The 21,873-nt window shown below is 41.4% G+C and overlaps 1 pseudogene, besides 1 other annotated feature; it reads right to left on the bottom strand.

The window, feature by feature from the left end:
• On the bottom strand, positions 6,821–7,736 carry VN1R9P (vomeronasal 1 receptor 9 pseudogene; annotated as a pseudogene).
• Positions 21,575–21,684: a silencer, noted in NCBI's record as "silent region_13427". NCBI's record gives its function as "represses an Ori minimal core promoter by ATAC-STARR-seq in GM12878 lymphoblastoid cells {active_cell/tissue: GM12878}" and the evidence as "EXISTENCE:reporter gene assay evidence [ECO:0000049][PMID:35858748]".

A 21,873-nucleotide genomic window follows, 5' to 3' on the forward strand; every position in this document is an offset into this window, starting at 1 on the left:
GGGAAATGGGTCATTCCTGTCCCCTATTCCAATTCTCTCCTTCTATAATGGCTTATTTTTCCTTTTTAATGTTCTAACCTAATGTTGAGCAATTTCAGTTGATTTTTTCATAAGCTGGAAGGTCCATGAAATCTGTTTCTATGGCCATTATTTTCTCAAACACTGCAGTGTCTTTTTTCAGTGTTTTCCATATATAATGATATTCCTAGGAATATCTCCTTGGCCTTCCTATCTAAATTCACCCAATGTGGTGTTCTTCATATTTCAAGTGAATTCAATACTGCCTTCATAATTGTTGGCCCCTTTAAACTTTTATTGTCCCTGATAGGTAGGTGCTCATCTTATTGGTTAAATGATTTCGGCAATTTCCCTTTTTAATTATTTTTATTTTTATTTTGAGACAGGGTCTCAGTCTGTTGCCCAGGCTGGAGTGCAGTGACATGATCTCAGCTCACTGCAGCCTCGACATCCCAGGCTCAAGCAATCTTCCCACCTCAGCCTCCCAAGTAGTTGGGATTACAGACATGTGCCACAGCACTCCACTAATTTTTTTCTATTTTTTTCTATTTTTGTAGAGACAGGATCTTGTTATGTTTCCCAGACTGGTCTGTAACTCATACACTCAAGTAATCAGCCCATCTGGGTCTCCCAATGTGCTGGGATTACAGGCCCAGCCTAAAATGTCTTTTTGATAGAGTGATTTTGAAGATTAAGCAGGCTAGTGGGTCAAGCACGTAGTACAACATTTGAAGCCCAAAGGCAGGGAGTGTGAGCCCCAGGTGGTGGTGGCGGGGATGAAAGGAGAAGCAGGAGGCAATGGGGAACGAGACACTTGAGACTGGAACTCAGGGCTCTTCAGAGAGAGAAGCTTTCAGGTCCTGGAGAAGGGGTGAGACCCATGCGAGTCCCCTGGATGCTCAAAAGGAAGGGCCAGGTTTCCCTGACACAGTGGGCTCCGTGGTCTCCTCCCCTCCTTTTCACCTCAGGAGGGAGGGAAAGAGGGGAAGAGAAGGTCCTGCAGAGGAGGCAGGATGGCCGGTTGAGGGGGGCCTTGGGCGCTTTTTCCCAAGGGCTGCCTCCTGTGGCAGCCCCAGGGGCTTCCTTGAACAAGAACTCCCTGCTCTCCCGCTGAGAGCCAGGGTGGGTCCTCTGTCCCTCACCATGAAGTTCAATGAGTATTGGAGAGTCCGCATGAGGCGAAGGGGCTTCAGCCCAACCGCTGGTCCCTGCTGCACTCACTCTTCAAGAAGGACCACCAGCTGCCTGATGGTGAGCATGGAGCAGGTCTGAGTGGACCAGACTAGGGCCAAGAAACACACCAAAATTGAAACACAAAGAAATACAAAACATGAACAGACCAATAACAAATAATGAGATCAAAGCTGTAATAAAAAGTCTCCCAGTAAAGAAAAGCCCCAATATTCTATGGCTTCACTACTGAATTCTAACAAGCATTTAAAGAACTAACACCAATCCTACTGAAACTATTCCACAAAATAGAGATGGGGAATACTTCCAAACTCATTCTATAACACCAGAATTACCTTTATACCAAAATCAAAGACACTTTAAAAAAAGAAAACTACAATATCTCCAATTAATATTGATGCAAAAATCCTCAACAAAATGCTAACAAACCTTTAAGCAATACATTAAAAATATCATTCTTCATGATCATGTGTGATTTATCACAAGGATGCAAGAATGGTTGCAAATCAATCCAAATGATACATCACATCAACAAAATGAAGGAAAAGATTATATAATCATTTAAATTAAGACATTAAAAAAAATTTGATAAAATTCAACATCCCATCATGATTAAAAACCCTCAAAAACCTGGGTAGAGAAAGAACATTATTAACATAATGAAAGCCATATATGACATACCCACAGCTAGTATCATACTGACAGGGGAAACACTGAAATCCCCTTCTCTAAGATCTGGAACATGACCAGGATGCCCACTTTCACCACTGTTATTCTCCGTAGTACTGGAAGTCCTAGCAAAAGCAATCAGACAAGAGAGAGAAACAAAGGGCATCTAAAGGGAAGAAGACAAATTATCCTTGTTTTGCAGATGATATAATCTTATATTTGTAAAAAACCTGAAGACTCCACAAAAACTACTAGAACTGATAAATTCAGTAGAGTTTCTGGATACAAATCAATATATAAAAATCAGTAGCATTTTTTTTTTTTTTTGAGACAGAGTCTCGCTCTGTCACCCAGGCTGGAGTGCAGTGGTGCAATCTTGGCTCACTGCAAGCTCCGCCTCCTGGGTTCACACCATTCTCCTGCCTCAGCCTCCCGAGGAGCTGGGGCTACAGGCACCCACCATCACGCCTGGCTAACTTTTTTTGTATTTTTAGTAGAGACGGGGTTTCATCGTGTTAGCCAGTATGGTCTCGATCTCCTGACCTCAGCTTCCCAAAGTGCTGGGATTACAGGCGTGAGCCACTGCGCCCAGCAGGAATCAGTAGCATTTCTATATGCCAAGAGTGAACAATCTGAAAAAGAATTTAAAAAGAAATACCATTTATCATAGCCACAAATAGAACTAAATACATAGAAATCAACCAAAGAAGTAAAGGATTTCTACAACAAAAACTATAACACAATCATAAAATAAATTGAAGACACAAAAATTGAAAGATATTCCATGTTCATGGATTGATAGTGTTAGTATGTTAAAATCTCTATATTACCCAAAGCAATTCACAGATTAAATGCAGGAATCACATTAACTGACTTCAAATTATATTACAAAGCTATAGTAACTGTAGCAGCCTGGTACTGGCATAAAAATAGACACATAAACCAATGGAATTGAACAGATAACCCAGAAAAAAAATTTATACATTTTCACTGAACTCATTTTCAACAAAGGTGCCAAGAACTTAAATTAGGGAAAAGACAATCTCTTCAATAAATCGTGCTTTGAAAACTGGATATCTACATGCAAAAGAATGAAATTATAACCCCAACTCTTGCCTTATACAAAAGTCAAATCAAAATGGATTAAATACTTAAATCTAAGACCTTGAATTAAAAAACTACTGCAAGAAAACATTGGGGAAAGTCTCTCCAGGTCTTGGCAAAAATGTCTTGAGTAATACCCCACAAGCACACGCAACCAAAGCAAATATGGACAAATGAAGTTACATCAAGTTAAAAATCTTCTGCATGTCAAAGGAAATGATCAATAAAGTGAGGAGACAACCCACAGAATAGGAGAACATATTTGCAAACTATTCACCTGACAAAGGATTAATAACTAGAACAGATAAGCAGCTCAAACTACTGTATAGGAAAAAAATCTAGTAATCTGATCTTTAAAATGGGCAAAATATTTCAATAAACATTTCTTAAAAGAAGACATATGAATTGCAAGCAGTTATATTATCAGAAACACGCAAATCAAAACTACAATGAGATATCATCTTATCCCAGTTAAAATGAATTTTGTCCAAAAGTCAGGCAACAGCAAATGCTAGTGAGAATGTGGAGAAATGGGAAGCCTGGTACACTGTTGGTGGAAATGTAAATTAGTACAACCACTATGGAAAACAGCTTGGAGTTTCCTCATAAAACTAAACTAGAGCCTCCATATAATCCAGCAATTTCACTGCTAAGTATATACTCACAAGAAAGGAACTCAGTATGTTGAAGAGATGTCTACATTCCCATGTTTGTTGCAGCATTGTTGAAAATAGCCAAGATTTGGAAGCAACGTAAGTGTCAATCAACAGATGAATGGATAAAGAAAATGTAGTATGTATACACAGTGGAGCCAGAAAAAAAGAATGAGATTCTGTCATTTTTAACAACATGGATGAGGGTTATTATGTTAAATGAAATAAGCCAGGCACAGAAAGACAAACTTTGCATGTTCTCACTTATTTATGGGTGCTAAGGATCCCATTGAGTTGAACTCAACGGAGATAGAGAGTAGAAGGATGGTTACCAGAGGCTGAGAAGCATAGTAGGGGGGCAGTTTGGTAGGGCCATGGAGGGAAGTGAGGATGGCTAATGGGTACAAGAAATAGTTAAAAAGAATGAATAAGAGGTAGAGGTACTATTTGATGGCACAACAGGGTATTTGTGCTGATAGCACAACAGTAGTATTTGTACTGATAACACAGTTTGTACTGGTAGCACAACAGTAGTACTTGATACCACAACACTGCAATTGTCAATAATTGACAATTATTATAATCAATAATAATTTAGTTGTACCTTTTAAAATAACTGAAATCATATAATTCAATTTTTGTAATACAGAGTAAATGCTTGAGGAGATGGATACCCCATTTACCATGCTGTGATTGTTACACGTTGCATGCCTGTATCAAAGTATCTCATGTACCCCATTTATACACACAACTACTGTATACCCACAAAAAATAAAAATAAATGTGATATAATAATCAGGTATGGTTTTGCTGGGGTATATATTACATCGCTGTATTTTGCCTAGTCTATAGGATTAGGGGGAATAGCTGTGGTAAATTCCCACAGAGGCAGTTGCAAAACTCCCTACACTTCTCTCTCCCATTTGCACTTTAGTTTGTTAAAATCTGCTAAAGCTGTTTCTAATTCACCACTTTGTAGCATTCTTTGGCTTTGTTTTGGAGGACTAGTAAATCAGTTAGCTGATACTGGTTTGAAAACCCTGAATCATAGGTCTTAAGCATTATTTGGAATTCCTTGGCAAACCTAAGGTGTCTTGAGTCAGATCAAGAAATCCAAACATCAGAGCACTTAATTCTGACTTGGTGTAAGGTGTATATCTTATGTTTGAACCCACTCTTCCTGTGGGTTTTGTTTTAAAAGAAATGACTACTATTTTGTCTTCTCCTGTAGCTATTTCTGGACCCTTTGTGGTTTAAGAAGGAATACGGGAGGAGAAAGAGAAAAAAAATGAAATCATCCAGGCAAGGAAGTTTAGAAAGCAGAGGTTTAGGAGAAGAAAAAGAAGAGAGTTTCTGGCAGCTTCCTGATTTTAGAAGCTGATTTTGCTACTTTTCTTTAATTCTGAGGTAGTTTCAAGTATTTTGTTGTTACCTTTCTGGAAAGAAATAAGTTTATCGTTTCTACTTTTGGATGTTTTTAGGTGCCAGCTAAAATACAACCCTCATTTATTTTCCTTGATGCAGAAACCTAACTTCTCTAATTTAGCATACGAGAAGACCAGTTTGGGAATATTTAAAGTTCTTCACTTTGGGAACCTTAGATGTTGGTCGTCCTTAGTAAAATCCTCCCTTTACACAAATGTTTGCAAGAAGAGGTGCTATAATTATCAGCTATAAAACCAGCTGGGGTGCCCAAAGGGGGACACTCTCCTTGCCTGTCCTCGATTTTAGAGATTTTTTTTCTCATTTTTCTTTAAAAGGAGTAGTTGAACTGTGGCTTGTCATTTGATTAGAAGATCAGAGTGTGCCGATTGTGGATGAGACTCCATGGTGTCTATCACTGAGTCGTTTCTGTCCTCTTGTATCTCCCAGTTTCTCTGTCTTGGTGTTTATCACCTCCAGGGAGATGCAAATCAAAACAATACCAGACATTACCTTATCTTAACTAGAATGGCCATAATCGAAATGACAGAAGAGAACAAGTGTTGGCAAGGATGTGGAATAAAGGGAACTCTTATAAACTGTTGGTTTGAATACAAATTAATACAGCCACTATGAAAAACAAGTATGGAAGTTTCTCAACCTGAAATGGAACTACTGTATGTTCCAGCAATTCCACAACTGGGCATATAGCCAACAGAAATAAAATCAGTATGTTAAAGAGATAGCTACACTCCCATGTTTATTACAGCACTATTGACAATGGCCAAGATATGGAATCAATCACAGTGCCCATCAAAGAATAAATGGATAAGACAACATGGTATGTAAACACAATGAAATGCTATTTGGCCACAAATATATGGCATAATAAAATAAATGGCAGAATAAAATTCTGCCATTTAAGACAACATAGATGAACCTGAAGGACATTGTGTTAAGTGAAATAAGCCAGACACAGAGAGACAAATAACACAGGAATTTATTAAATGTGGAGTCTAAACAAGCTTATCTCTTAGAAGTAGAGAGTAGAATGGTGGTTACCAGAGCCTGCGGTGGTTAGTGGGGAGGACAGGATGGAAAGATGTTGGTCAAAGGAAACATAATTATTATTAGATAGAAGAAATATATTTTACAAGATCTGTTACGCAGCACGGCAGCCATACTTAATTATGATATATTGCAGTCCTGAAAAATGAAAAGGTAGTTGATGTTAAGTGTTTTCACCACAAAAAATAACTTTTAGATCATGCATTTGTTAATTAGCTAGATTTAATCATTTTATAATCTATATGTAATTCAAAACATACATAATAAACTTACACAATGTTATTTTCAATTAAAAACAAATTTTAAAATTATGCTTAAAAAATTTTTTATTCAAGCTAGAATTTGAATATAGCTAAATATCTTCAATAAACAAGAAAAATTAAAATAATTTCAAAAATTAAAACTAAGAGATTTGCTTGCCAATAGGAGCCGCGTAAGAGTGTACTCAAGAAGAAAATAACATTTTCCTGTATACAGGTTAAAATTAAAATGAAGGGGTGAGAGACAGACCTTGAGAATACAAAATCATAGTGGACATTGAACTGAGGAAAGCACATAGTTCTTGGCACCAAAAAATTAAAAGATATTGAGATATTATAAAAGTACAATTCACATGTTTTATTTAAATCAGAAAGAAAATTATGTGTTTTGTATAATTTAATTGATTACAAGGAAATAATTTTTAGAAAATTTTATCACCAACTTGTTAAAAATAGATGGCACTTCCATTGAAACTTTTGCAGAATATTGATGATTCTTTTATCAGATCTGATTAGCACCAGAGGACTGACAGTGGCATAGGCATTGACCACAAACTTGTGGACACCATAGGTGACAGGGCCAATTACCCATAACAGCATTGTGGATGATGAGAGGATGAAGTCCACTGAGTACATCAGCACAAAGGAATTCACCAGCATCAGGATGGTCTTGGTGGCCATTTTCACTAGAGAGGTCCTTAATATAAGGCTGCTGCTGTGAAAGTGCTGGGAGTGCCTCTGATGCCTGGACAAAAGAATGACCATGTATACACTTGAGAGCAGCGTGATTCCTATGAAGAAGGCATCTCTGGATAATGATAGCATAAGAAATAGCGCCCTGATGAGGACATTCATTGGGAAAAATGTGCAATATTTGCTGATATTCAAAATTATCTGGGTCATTGGAATAACCTACAGTGTAGATTATCATGTCGCTACTGAAAGACAAATTGCTAAACCAAAAAACGAATAAGCCCAGGATATCGTATTTTGTAAATTTATGTTTAAATCTCACCAACCAGGAGGTGCTGGGGCTGATGGTAATGGCCTGGAACATGCTCAGGAGGCAGGTGGTGCAGATGGAGAGGCCCCTCATCACCTTCTGCAAATAGAAGAAAGCTTTAGGCCAGGTGCGGTGGCTCACGCCTGTAATCCCAGCACTTTGGGAGGCCGAGGCGGGTGGATCACGAGGTCAGGAGATCGAGACCATCCTGGCTAACACGGTGAAACCCCGTCTCTACTAAAAAATACAAAAAAAATTAGCCGGGCGTGGTGGCAGGCGCCTGTAGTCCCAGCCACTTGGGAGGCTGAGGCAGGAGAATGGCATGAACCCGGGAGGTGGAGCTTACAGTGAGCTGAGATCGCGCCACTGCACTCCAGCCTGGGCAACAGAGCGAGACTCCGTCTCCAAAAAAAAAAAAAAGAAAGCTTTACATCTAAAGTTATTCTGAAAATTCAGTGACTCAAACATGTCTGGAGACAAAAACTCCATTGCAGTGAAGAGCATTACTAGGTGGAAAAAGGCCAAATGACAGGTGACCAGGTCATGGGTCTTAGGCCTATGATCCTGAAAGAATGTAAAAATGTGGAAGAGAAGATGGAAGATGTTGGCTGAGATTCTAATGCTAGCTTGACAATTAAAGGCATTTTTAAAAGATAACGTAAGTGAAAACTGTGTTCATCCTAATGGCATAGAAGAAACATATTTTGTAGATCTGAAAAAAAATGACTCATATCATCAATGTTCTTTCTTCAGTGTTTGAAATTATTACCATCATTATTATTTTTATTTTACTCACTTATTCTTGATTAACCTTGATGCTAAATTCTTGATAATGTACCCCCTGCACTCTTTTCTAAGCCAAATAATTATATATATATAATTATTACTCTCTATATATAATGAATACATTTACAATCATGCCTGTATAGGGTGCACACTATCTATATTCCTAATGCCCTTTGCCCTCCATCTTTAGAAATCAATTTTTGTTATTTTGTGTTCTCTCATTTTATTTTTAGCACCCAATTCAGTGACAGGCATATAAAATGAATCACATTTGCACAGTCGAATTGAATAAAATGTATGCTAAAGTGGAAAGACTCACTAAAGCAAACAATTAAAAATATATCCAATTGAGTCTTTCTCATGATCTATCACTTTGATACGGTTTATTCTTCACTCTTCCATGGTTTTTGATGCTTATGATTCTACTGGGCCCACCATGATAATTCATAATAGTCTTCTTATTTTTCATCAGCATATCAGCAATTTTGATCCCATTTGCAACCTTATATTCTCTTTGCCATGAATTGTAATGTATTTCCAGTATCTAAGAACTTGGATGTAAATATCTTTTTTAGGGAGTGGGGAACATTATTCTGTTTATCCAAACCCTGATTAACTGTATGTCTTAGAAATGGTCCTGGTGCTTTCCCAGTTTACTTCACATCCCAGAGACTTATCATGTGAACTCTCTTCATCTCAGAACAAAATTTTTAATATTTGCTTCTCAGTTATCAACAAGATAAACACTACTTTTAATCATTTTATTTCAACCAAGAGGTTGCATTAAAATAGTCACACATAGTTCTTTTTCCTGAGACTTTACTTGATACAGGAATATCAGTCTCCAATGAGAAAGATAATGCCTCTCAAGTTTTCTTGGGATATCCTCAATACCATAATACCTTGTAAAATTTTGCAGAACAATTTTGCAGTTGCCATTTCATGTTATTTGGCCAGGATTCAGGTATCATTGTATCATTTTGCTTTAACCCATGGGTAAAAACAATTTAGCTTCATGCATGAAATATAAAAAACAGTAAATTAGCACAGATTTGGGGGGGGATGAAGGTGTGTCTGGTTATATATTCAAAGTCATTTATCATTACACTGTCCCCTAAATAAAAATATGAAAGGCAATGCAAACATCTTGACACTTAGTATTCTTGTCTAATAAACACAAGTGACTGAGGTAAAAAATATTGCTCTAAAACCACCAGATATGTTTGATTTTATAAAGGAAATATCATCTAGGTGATTAAATAGTTATTACTCTCTCTACAAAACTTTAGTAAGTGAATCCATTTATCATAAATGTCAGAATCAAACAATGAAAAGTTCCTACCAACCTGCGTCTGCACCATCAGCATGGTTGAGTTCTGCTGTCAAGTTGAAATCAGAAGAAAAAAAAAACAAGGGGAGGCACAAAGATGGCCAAATAGGAACAGCTCTGGTCTACAGCTCCAGCACTATCAACACAGAAGACAGATGATTTCTGCATTTCCAACTGAAGTACCTGGAACTGGTTGGACAGTGGGTGTAGCCCACGGAGAGGGTGAGCTGAAGCAGGGTGGGGCATCACCTCATCCAGGAAGTACAAGGGGTTGGGGGATTTCCCTTTCCTAGCCAAGGGAAGCCATGAGAGATGGTACCTGGAAAATCGGGACACTTCCACCCTAATAGTGTGCTTTTCCAACAGTCTTAGCAAATGGCACACCAGGAGATTATATCCCGCACATGGCTCGGAGGATCACATGCCCATGGAGGCTTGCTCACTGCTAGCACAGCGGTCTGAGATCGAACTGGGAGGGAGCAGACAGGCTGGGGGAGGGGCATCCGCCATTGCTGAGGCTTGACTAGGTAAACAAAGCCACCAGGAAGCTTGAACTGGGTGGAGCCCACCACAACTCAACCAGGACTGCCTGCCTCTGTAGACTCCACCTCTAGGGGCAGGGCATAGCTGAACAAAAGGCAGCAGAAACTTTCTACAGCAGAAGTTTCTACAGCCTTAAACTTCCCTGTCTGACAGCTCTGAAGAGAGCAGTGGTTCCCACAGAATGGAGTTTAAGCTCTGAGAATGGACAGACTGCCTCCTCAAGTGTGTCCCTGACCCCCAAGTAGCCTAACTGAGAGACACCTCCCAGTAGGGGTCAACTGACACCTCATACAGCCAGGTGCCCCTCTGAGACAAAGCTTCCAGAGGAAAGATCAGGCAGCAACATTTGCTGTTCTGCAATATTTGCTGTTCTGAAGCCTCTGCCAGTGATACCCAGGCAAACAGGGTCTGCAGTAGACCTCCAGCAAACTCCAACAGACCTGCAGCTAAGGAATCTGTTAGAAGGAAAACTAACAAACAAAAGCAATAGCATCAACATCAACAAAAAGGACATCCACACCAAAACCCCATCTGTAGGTCACCATCATCAAAGACCAAAGGTAGATAAAATGACAAAGATGGAGAGAAACCAGAGCAGAGAAGCTGAAAAGTCTAAAAACCACTGCACCTCTTCTCCTCCAAAGTGTCACAGCTCCTCCACAGCAATGGAACAAAGCTGGATAGAGAATGACTTTGATGAGTTGACAGAAGTAGGCTTCAGAAGGTTTGTAATAACAAACTTCTCCAGGCTAAAGGAGGATGTTCGAACCCATCGCAAGGAAGCTAAAAACCTTGAAAAAAGATTAGATGAATGGCTAACTGGAATAAACGGCATAGAGAAGACCTTAAATGACCAGATGGAGGTGAAAACAATGGCACAAGAACTACGTGATGCATGCACAAGCTTCAGTAGCCGATTTGATCAAGTGGAAGAAAGGGGATCAGTGATTGAAGGTCAAATGAATGAAATGAAGTGAGAAGAGAAGTTTAGAGAAAAAAGAGTAAAAAGAAATGGACAAAGCCTCCAAGAAATATGGGGCTATGTGAAAAGACCAAATCTACTTGTGATTGGTGTACCTGAAATTGACGGGGAGAATGGAACTAAGTTGGAAAACACTCTTCAGGATATTATCCAGGAAAACTTCCACAACTTAGCAAGGCAGGCCAACATTCAAATTCAGGAAATACAGAGAACACCACAAAGATACTCTATGAGAAGAGCAACCCTGAGACACAGAATTGTCAGATTCACCAAGGTTGAAATGAAGGAAAAAAGGTTAAGGGCAGCCAGAGGGAAAGGTCGGGTTACCCACAAAGGGAAGCCCATCAGACTAACAGCGGATCTCTCAGCAGAAACTCTACAAGCCAGAAGAGAGTGGGGGCCAATATTCAACATTCTTAATGAAAAGAAGTTTCAACACAGAACTTCATATCCAGCCAAACTAAGCTTCATAAGTGAAGGAGAAAGAAAATCCTTTATAGACAAGCAAATGCTGAGAGATTTTGTCACCACCAGGCCTGCCCTACAAGAGCTCCTGAAGGAAGCAGTAAACACAGAAAGAACAACCAGTACCAGCCACTGCAAAAACATGCCAAATTGTAAAGGCCATCGATGCTAGGAAGAAACTGCATCAACTAATGGGCAAAATAACCAGCTAACATCATAATGACAGGATCAAATTCACATGTAACAATATTAACCTTAAATGTAAATGGGCTAAATGTTCCAATTAAAAGACACAGACTGGCAAATTGGATAAAGAGTCAAGACCCATCAGTGTGCTGTATTCAGGAGACCCATCTGACATGCAGAGACACATATAGGTTCAAAATAAAGGGATGGAGGAAGATCTACCAAGCAAATGGAAAACAAAAAAAAGCAGAGGTTGCAATCCTAGTCTCAGGAAAAACAGACTTTAAGCCAACAAAGATCAAAAGAGACATAGAAGGCCATTACATAATGGTAAAGGGATCAATTCAACAAGAAGAGCTAACTATCCTAAATATATATGCACCCAATACAGGAGCACACAGATTCACAAAGCCAATCCTTAGAGATGTACAAAGAGACTTAGACTCCCACACAATAATAATGGGTGACTTTAACACCCCATTGTCAACATTAGACAGATCAACAAGACAGAAAGTTAACAAGGATATCCAGGATTTGAACTCAGCTCTGCACCAAGTGGACCTAACAGACATCTACAGAACTCTGTACCCCAAATCAACAGAATATACATTCTTCTCAGCACCCCATCTCACTTATACTTAAATTGACCACATAGTTGGAAGTAAAGCACTACTCACCAAATGTAAAAGAACAGAAATCACAACAAACTGTCTCTCAGACAACAGTGCAATCAAATTAGAACTCAGGATTAAGAAACTCACTCAAAACTGCACAACTACATGGAAACTGAACAACCTGCTCCTGAATGACTACTGGGTACATAATGAAATGAAGGCAGAAATAAAGATGTTCTTTGAAACCAAAGAGAGCAAAGACACAACATACCAGAATCTCTGGGACACCTATAAAGCAGTGTGTAGAGGGAAATTTATAGCACTAAATGCCCACAAGAGAGATCAGGAAAGATCTAAAATCGATACCCTAACATCACAATTAAAAGAACTAGAGAAGCAAGAGCAAACACATTCAAAAGCTAGCAGAAGGCAAGAAATAACTAAGATCAGAGCAGAACTGAAGGAAATAGAGACACAAAAAGCCTTCAAAAAATCAATGAATCCAGGAGCTGGTTTTTTGCAAAGACCAACAAAATAGATAGACCGCTAGCAACACTAATAAAGAAGGAAAGAGAGAAGAATCAAATAAACACAATAAAAAATGATAAAGGGGATATCACCACTGATCCCACAGAAATACAAACTACCATCAGAGAATACTATAAACACCTCTATGCAATAAACTAGAAAATCTAGAAGAAATGGATAAATTCCTCGACACATACACCCTCACAAGACTAAACAAGGAAGAATTTGAATCCTTGAATAGACCAATAACAGGCTCTGAAATTGAGGCAATAATTAATAGCCTACCAACCAAAAAATGTCCAGGACCAGATGGATTCACAGCCGAATTTTACCAGAGGTACAAAGAGGAGCTGGTACCATTCCTTCTGAAACTATTCCAATCAATAGAAAAAGAAGGAATCCTCCCTAACTCATTTTATGAGGCCAGCATCATCCTGATACCAAAGCCTGACAGAGACACAACAAAAAAAGAGAATTTTAGACCAATATCCCTGATGAACATTGATGCAAAAATCCTCAATAAAATACTGGCAAACCAAATCCAGCATCACATCAAAAAGCTTATCCACCAAGATCAAGTTGGCTTCATCCCTGGGATGCAAGGCTGGTTCAGCATACGCAAATCAACACACATAATCCAGCATATATACAGAACCAATGAAAAAACCACATGATTATCTCAATAGATTCAGGAAAGACCTTTGACAAAATTCAACAACGCATCATGCCAAAAACTCTCAATAAATTAGGTATTGATGGGACGTATCTCAAAATAATAAGAGCTATCTATGACAAACCCACAGCCAATATCATACTGAATGGACAAAAACTGGAAGCATTCCCTTTGAAAACTGGCACAAGACAGGGATGCCCTCTCTCACCACTCTTATTCAACATAGTGTTGCAAGTTCTGGCCAGGGCAATCAGGCAGGAGAAAGAAATAAAGGGCATTCAATTAGGAAAAGAGGAAGTCAAATTGTCCCTGTTTGCAGATGACATGACTGTATATCTAGAAAACCCCATTGTCTCAGCCCAAAATCTCCTTAAACTGATAAGCAACTTCAGCAGTCTCAGGATACAAAATCAATGTGCAAAAATCACAAGCATTCTTATACACCAATAACAGACAAACAGCGAGCCAAATCATGAGTGAACTCCCATTCACAATTGCTTCAAAGAGAATAAAATACCTAGGAATCCAACTTACAAGGGACGTGAAGGACCTCTTCAAGGAGAACTACGAACTACTGCTCAATGAAATAAAAGAGGATACAAACAAATGGAAGAACATTCCATGCTCATGGGTAGGAAGAATCAATATCATGAAAATGGCAATACTGCCCAAGGTAATTTATAGATTCAATGCCATCCCCATCAAGCTACCAATGACTTTCTTCACAGAATTGGAAAAAATTACTTTAAAGTTCATATGGAACCAAAAAAGAGCCTGCATTGCCAAGTCAATCTTAAGCCAAAAGAACAAAGGTGGAAGCATCACGCTACCTGACTTCAAACTATACTACAAGGCTACAGTAACAAAAACAGCATGGTACTGGTACCAAAACAGAGATATAATCCAATGGAACAGAACAGAGCCCTCAGAATTAATGCCGCATATCTGCAACCATCTGACCTTTGACAAACCTGACAAAAACAAGCAATGGGGAAAGGATTCCCTATTTAATAAATGGTGCAGGGAAAACTGGCTAGCCATACGTAGAAAGCTGAAACTGGATCCCTTCCTTACACCTTACACAAAAATTAATTCAAGATGGATTAAAGACTTACATGTTAGACCTAAAACCATAAAAACCCTAGAAGAAAACCTAGGCAATACCATTCAGGACATAGGCGTGGGAAAGGACTTCACGTCTAAAACACCAAAAGCAATGGCAACAAAAGCCAAAATTGACAAATGGGATCTAATTAAACTAAAGAACTTCTGCACAGCAAAAGAAACCACCATCAGAGTGAACAAGCAACCTACAGAATGGGAGAAAATTTTTGCAACCTACTCGTCTGACAAAAGGCTAATATCCAGAATCTACAATGAACTCCAACAAATTTACAAGAAAAAACAGACAACCCCATCAACAAGTGGGCAAAGGATATGAACAGACACTTCTCAAAAGAAGACATTTATGCAGCCAAAAAACACATGAAAAAATGCTCATCATCACTGGCCATCAGAGAAATGCAAATCAAAACCACAATGAGATACCATCTCACACCAGTTAGAATGGCGATCATTAAAAAGTCAGGAAACAACAGGTGCTAGAGAGGATGTGGAGAAATAGGAACACTTTTACACTGTTGGTGGGACTGTAAACTAGTTCAACCATTGTGGAAGTCAGTGTGGCCATTCCTCAGGGATCTAGAACTAGAAATACCATTTGACCCAGCCATCCCATTACTGGGTATATACCCAAAGGATCATAAATCATGCTGCTATAAAGACACATGCACACGTATATTAATTGTGGCACTATTCACAATAGCAAAGACTTGGAACCAACCCAAATGTCCAACAATGATAGACTGGATGAAGAAAATGTGGCACATATACACCATGGAATACTATGCAGCCATAAAAAATGATGAGTTCATGTCCTTTATAGGGACATGGATGAAGCTGGAAACCATCATTCTCAGCAAACTATAGTAAGGACAAAAAACCAAACACCACATGTTCTCACTCATAGGTGGGAATTGAACAATGAGAACACATGGACACAGGAAGGGGAACATGACACACCGGGGACTGTTGTGGGGTCGGGGGAGGGGGGAGGGATAGCATTAGGAGATATACCTAATGCTAAATGACAAGTTAATGGGTGCAGCACACCAACATGCCACATGTATACATATGTAACAAACCTGCACGTTGTGCACATGTACCCTAAAACTTAAAGTATAATAATAATAATAATAGTAATACATTTTAAAAAGAGAGAATTTCTTTGTTAGTTTTCATCACAATGATTGATCTGTCTAAAGCTGTCAGTGGGATGTTCAAATCCCCCACTATTTTTTTTAAAATATACTTTAAATTTTAGGGTACTTGTGCACAACGTGCAGGTTAGTTACAGGTTAGTTACACGTGCCATGTTGGTGTGCTGCACCCAGTAACTCGCCCCCACTATTATTGTGTGGCTGTCTAAGTCTTTTTGCAGGTTTAGAAGTATTTGTTTTATGAATCAGAGTGCCCTAATGTTGGATGCCTATATTTTCAGGATTTTTAAGTCTTCTTGTTGAACTAAATGCTTCATCACTATGTAATGCTTTTTATTTATTTATTTTTTTTACTGTTGTTGGTTTAAAGTCTGTTCTATATGACATAGCAATAGCAACCTCTGGTCTTTTTGTTTTTCATTTGTATGAGAGATCTTTCTCCAACCCTTTCCTTTAATCCCATGGATGGCATTACATATTAGATAGGTCTCTTGAAGACAGTATATGGTTGAGTCTTCCAACTTACCACTCTGTCCCTCTTAAGTGGGGTGTTTGAACCATTTACATTCAAGGTTAATATCGATATGTGAGATTTGTATCTTGTCATTGTTTTGTTAGCTGGTTGTTTTGTAGATTCAACTGTGTAGCTGCTTTACAGGGTCTTTGGGCTATGTATTTAAGTGTGTTTTATATTAGCAGCTTTTATTTTTCATTTCCCTAAAGAACCTCTTGTAAGGCTAGTGTAATGGTAACAAATTCTCTTAGCATTTGCTTGCCGGGAAAGGATTTTATTTCTTCTTTGCTTATGAAGCTTAGTTTGGCAGGATATGAAATTATTGGTTGGAATTTATTTTCTTTAAGGATGCTGAAAATAGGCTCCTAAGATTTTAAGGATTGTAAGGTTTCTGCTGATAGGTCTACTGTTAGCCTAATAGAGTTCCCTTCGTAAGTGACCTGACCCTTTCCTCTAACTCCTGTTAAGGCTTTTATTTTCATGTTGACCTTGGAGAATCTGATAACTGTGTCTTGGTGATTGTTGTCCTGTATAGTACTTCACAAAGGTACTCTAAATTTCTTGAATTGGCATGTTGGCCACTCTAATGTGATTGAGGATATTTTTGTGTGGATTATATTCCCAACAATTTTCCAATTTTTTTTTTTTTTTAGATGGAGTCTCTCTCTGTCCCCCAGGCTGGAGTTCAATGGCACAACCTTGGCTCACTGCAACCTCCACCTCCCAGGTTCAAGCACTTATGCTGCCTCAGCCTCCCAAGTAGTTGGGACTACAGGCATGCACCACCACACCTGGCTAATTACGTATTTTTAGTGAGACTGGGTTTCTACATGTTGGTCAGGCTGGTCTCGAACTCCCAACCTCAGGTGATCAGCCTGCCTCAGCCTCCCAAAGTGCTGGGATTAGAGGCATGAGCCACCACGCCCAGCCTGTTTTAACTCTTTGATTATCTGAATCTTCCAATTCCCCCCAACCACCAGTGAATTATTTCTGCTAATTTTTTTTTTTTTTGAAAAGAGAATGATGGAAACCCCACCCTGTTCCAGTGGGAGAGTACAGGGATTCCCTGGAAAGACTCTGGCTTGGAGCCCTCAAACCAGAGTTTAGGTCCAGGGGTCCACTTGGTGACTCAGGAGAAACCCTGGACCCCACCTCAAGGAATCTTGGATCCCCCGGTGGGGGTCTCAGAAGTAGGAGGCTGCTGGGCCACGGCAGGGACAAGGCTTTCTCTGGCACCCCCATGCAAGGTTCCTCAATAGAAAGAAATCATGTTGCCCGTTCCGCAGCAGGCATGCCATCCCAGGCCCCTGAGACCCCCAGGGGACATCCCCGCTCTGCCAACTGTGTGAACACACTCCACCTCCCAGCCTCTGCCATGTCACAGATGACTTGAGGCTTCAGATGAGTGACTCCCCAGAGTCACATGGGCCTATGCTTGGGTCCCAGCCTCTTCTATGACCCTTGAGGTGGCTCTCAGCATAGGAGGCTGATTTCTAGGCCTCTATGTGCTGTTCTGTGAATGGGACAGGTAACAGACCTCTATGGCAGGCATGAAATGCCAAGCGCCCACCACAAGGCCTGGCAACAAACTCTCAGGAAATTCAGGTCATTCTCTGGGAGTGGCCACAGATGCTTCTCAGAACCCCAACCCCTGGCACTGCTCCAGCCCATGCTGGACCCTTCATCATCCAGGTGTCCCAGGCCCACAAGTATCTGACACCTCAGGTGGCACTTGTGGCCCACTGTGTGACCCCAAGCATACCTCCATGTTCTCTGGGCTGAGTCTCTGAGCCGCCACAGCTCTGCAGAGCCCAGGCTGTGGGCTCCAGCCCCTGACTTCCAGCTTGACTTACTAAATGTAATCTCCAGGGCTAATTTTAATCCTGGGCAGGAATTGGACACATTCCCATGGCTAGGATGGGTCCCTGGAGGCTGGAGGTGACACCATCCCACAGGACCCAGTGCCAAGATAATCCCCCAAATGACCCCTGTGCCTGTGGTCTCATGAGAGCAGGGACTGGGGCTGAGCTTGGGCCTGAGTCTCTTGAGCATAGAAGGCTCAACTAAGCCCCTTCTCAATCTGTCTCAATTTTAGTTATAGGGACACTATGGCTAGTGCAGAGGTCACGAGACAGGGGAACCCCGAGAGGCAGGAAGTTGGGGGCCTTTCTGGACTGATGTCCTAGAGCTGAGACAGGAAGTGAATTCCATGCAGAAGAAACAGCAGGTACAAGGATCCCAAGGGGGAGAGAAACAGCAGTGAGGTTGGAGTGGGTGGGGAGGGCCAGAGGCCACAGAGGCTGGGCCACACTGGGTCTTCTGAGCTGCAGGAGGCTCTGGGTTTTAGCCTAAGAGCAAAGACGAGCTATGAGAGGGTTTTGAGGAGAGAAGGGATGGGGCTGATTTATCATTTTAACACGCAGCTCATGGCTACCATGGAAAGCAGGACTATCAGGGCTGGGGTGGAGATGGCAGGAGGCTGGAGATGAGGTCAGGGCTGTGTCCATCTGAGCAGAGCCTGGGGCGGTACCCTCTCTGTGCTGGTCTGTACCTCACACTGTAAGTCACTGGATCCCACGGCTTATTTGGCCCTCCAGAACATCAGGAGGTCCCCCACCAACTCTGGTGCGAGGTGACAGGTGCAGATGAGTTGATGCGGGGCTTAACTCTCCTGACCCCCCATGACACTGGAACTCTCCTGATCCCATCACCAAAGAACCAAGCTGTCCCCCACTCTGCCCCTGAGAGATCAAGCTCTAATCATGGCCTCCCTTGCTCACACATTCTCCATGGTTCCACATTGGCCTTGTGAGAAAATTTCTGCATCCAGCCTGACGTTCAAACACCTTGCCCTAATCAGCTCCTGCCTACTTCTCTCTATCTTTGACAAATATTTCTGTCTAGAAGGTCCTTTTTTCCCTTCCTCACCTAGCCAACTCCTATTCACACTTCAGAACTCAGCTCAGGTCAGATGAGGTGGTTCATGCCTGTAATTCCAGCACTCTGAGAGGCCAAGACAGGAGGATTGCTTGAACCCAGGAGTTTGAGACCAGCCTGAACAACATGATGTAACCCCATCTCTACAAAAAATACAAAAATTAGCTGTGTGTGGTGGCATGTGCCTGTAGTCCCACCCTGAAGTAGGAGGATCAATTGAGCACGGAAGGTCAAGGCTGCAGTGAGCAGTGATTGTGCCACTGCATTTCAGACTGAGCTGCAGAGAAAAAAAAACTCAGCTCAAGAACAAGCATTCCTCCAAGAAGCCCTCCCTGTTGTTCCTCTGGAATCCCACAGTCCCCATCCTTCCCCTGTAGTTCTGACCCCATGGGGCTGGCAGTAGATACATCCAACTTTGTCTCCCCTAGACTAGACAGCCCTCTAGATCAGGCCTAGGAGTGGACAGTAAAATTTAGAGAGTGCAACAGGTGAAGAGAGACGTGACTGACTCCCTCCTCTTTAGCTTCCCTTGACAGCTTCCTCTCAGACTGCCCCAGCTGATATCCTGCCCAGAAACACACATGCTTGCAAATCCAGCCACTAACCATTGACCTGTCTTGGACTCAAGTGTGAAGAGCCAGCCAAGGAATGCAGACCCGGAAGCCTAGGGTGTGTGTGTGTATTTGTAGTCAAGTGAAAATCCCACCCAAGCTCCAGACAGACCCTGGCGGCCCATTCTGCAGATGTTGGTGAGGTTGGTATTTCTGCGGAGGTGTCAGCAAAGGTTGAATGTGCCAGGCATGAGGCAAAGGCCAAGGTTTAGGGGGACTTCTACACACACACCTGCCCCCTTGCCTTGTCCAGCCAGAAAGCAGAGAGCAGTGGCATCTGCCCAGCACAGAGGCAGATGGGTGGATCCACTCATCGGAGGATAGAGCAGGGAAGACAGGACAGGAGAAATCCAAGAGGGCTTCTCAGGGGAGGAGGCGTGTAGTTTGGCTTAGATGCAGAGGCTAGACAGGGGCCTGAGCAGATGAGTAGGGGACTGGGCATTTGAAGCCAAGAGTCTTGCACCTCCCTACCCCTTTCTTTGCACCCTCATACTTGAGCATTTATTAGCAACTTGTGCTAACCACTGAGCTAAGCTGACCTCCAAGTAATTAGAAAGCTTAAGTAAACCAACATCTGTAGATGAGAAAGGTGACTGAGGACCTACTGTTACAAAGGCAAGGTAATTTGAGGCTGCAATGAGCTATGAGCAACTGTGTTCCAGCCTGGGAGACAGAATGTAAAAAAAATAGTAATAACAGAAAGTATGCATCAATCTCAATTTTTTTAAAAAAAGGCAGATGATTTTACAGTTGTTTTATCAAAACTCAAAGAACAGGAAAGCCCAAATTATTTCAACAAAGTCAGACCTTTTAAACAGATGATAGCTGCCCAAGTCATTTTTATGAAACTTCTTTATATCAAAACGTAAGTCTAAAAAGAGAAAAGTGTTGACCTTGATACAGGCTGTGTTAGGCAGAGATTTCAAGGAAATCCTCTCTGAAGAGGTGACATTTGATCTGAGACCTGAAGCACCGGAAAGAGGCAGCCAAGCCAGGAAGAGGCAGGAATGGGAAGGTCTAGGGAAAGACTGGTCCTGGCAGGCAGAACTGCGGTGGCAAAGGCCCAGCGGTGATCAGGAGCTTGGCATTTGGAAAAATAAAGAGTGTGTGTGACTGGACAGCGTGATCAAGTGGGCAGAGGAGGAGATGGTGATAGGGTGTGCACTGGTCAGGCCACCTAGCTCCTGGAGCCCACAGTGAGAAGCATGGGCTTGACTCTGAGGGCAAAGGAGAGCCACAGAGAGTTTGGGTAAAGGGGAAAGTTGGCATTTAATTTTATAGCTTTTTGAAGTTTGTTTTGTTTTCTTAGAAACAGGGTCTCAGTCTGTTACCCAAACTGGAGTGCAGCTCAAAATATTTTCCAATTTATCTTGTGATTTTTTTTTGATCCAATGATTTAGAGGTGGGTTGTTAAATTTTCACATATTTTCAGATGTCCAATATTTCTTACTGTTGTTAGTTTCTAATTCTGTTTCAGTCAGATAACTTATTTGTTTTCCCTGTCTCTCCTGTCTTCTGATCCTGTTTTTCCATTGACTACCATTTTTAAAATAAACTTATTTCAGTGTGTCATTTACAATCCTATTTTAATTTTTTGCTCTATCTCTGACGTGGTTGTTCCAGGGATTATAATGTGCTTTTAAATTTTTCCAACGAATGAAGAACGAAGTGATCGACTTCTTGCCTCTGCCGGGGCTCTGAAGCGCTGCCCCGAGGCGGTGGACGGAGGGTGCCAGGCGTGACATCAAGAGCTCTGCAGCCAGGGCCTGGGGCAACCTCCCGCTCCACCTCCCGGGAGCCTCGCAGCCAGCATCCCCAGCGGCTCGTGCTCCCCGGCCAGGCGGGACCTCAGCGCTGTGGCGGCCGCAGACCTCACCTGGGCAGGCCCCGGGCCGCATGCGGACCCTAGAGGCAACCAGCGGGCTGGATCCGCACAGCGGCCCTGGGGAATGGATCGTGTACAGGGGACAAAGCTACACATGTCTTTCATTTTGGAGGGGGGAAAAAAGAAAAAACGGAAATGAAAGATTGAAAATG

The sequence above is a fragment of the Homo sapiens genome, chromosome 22 (genome assembly GCF_000001405.40).
Source record: "Homo sapiens chromosome 22, GRCh38.p14 Primary Assembly".
In the NCBI taxonomy this organism is placed as follows: Eukaryota; Metazoa; Chordata; class Mammalia; order Primates; family Hominidae; genus Homo; species Homo sapiens.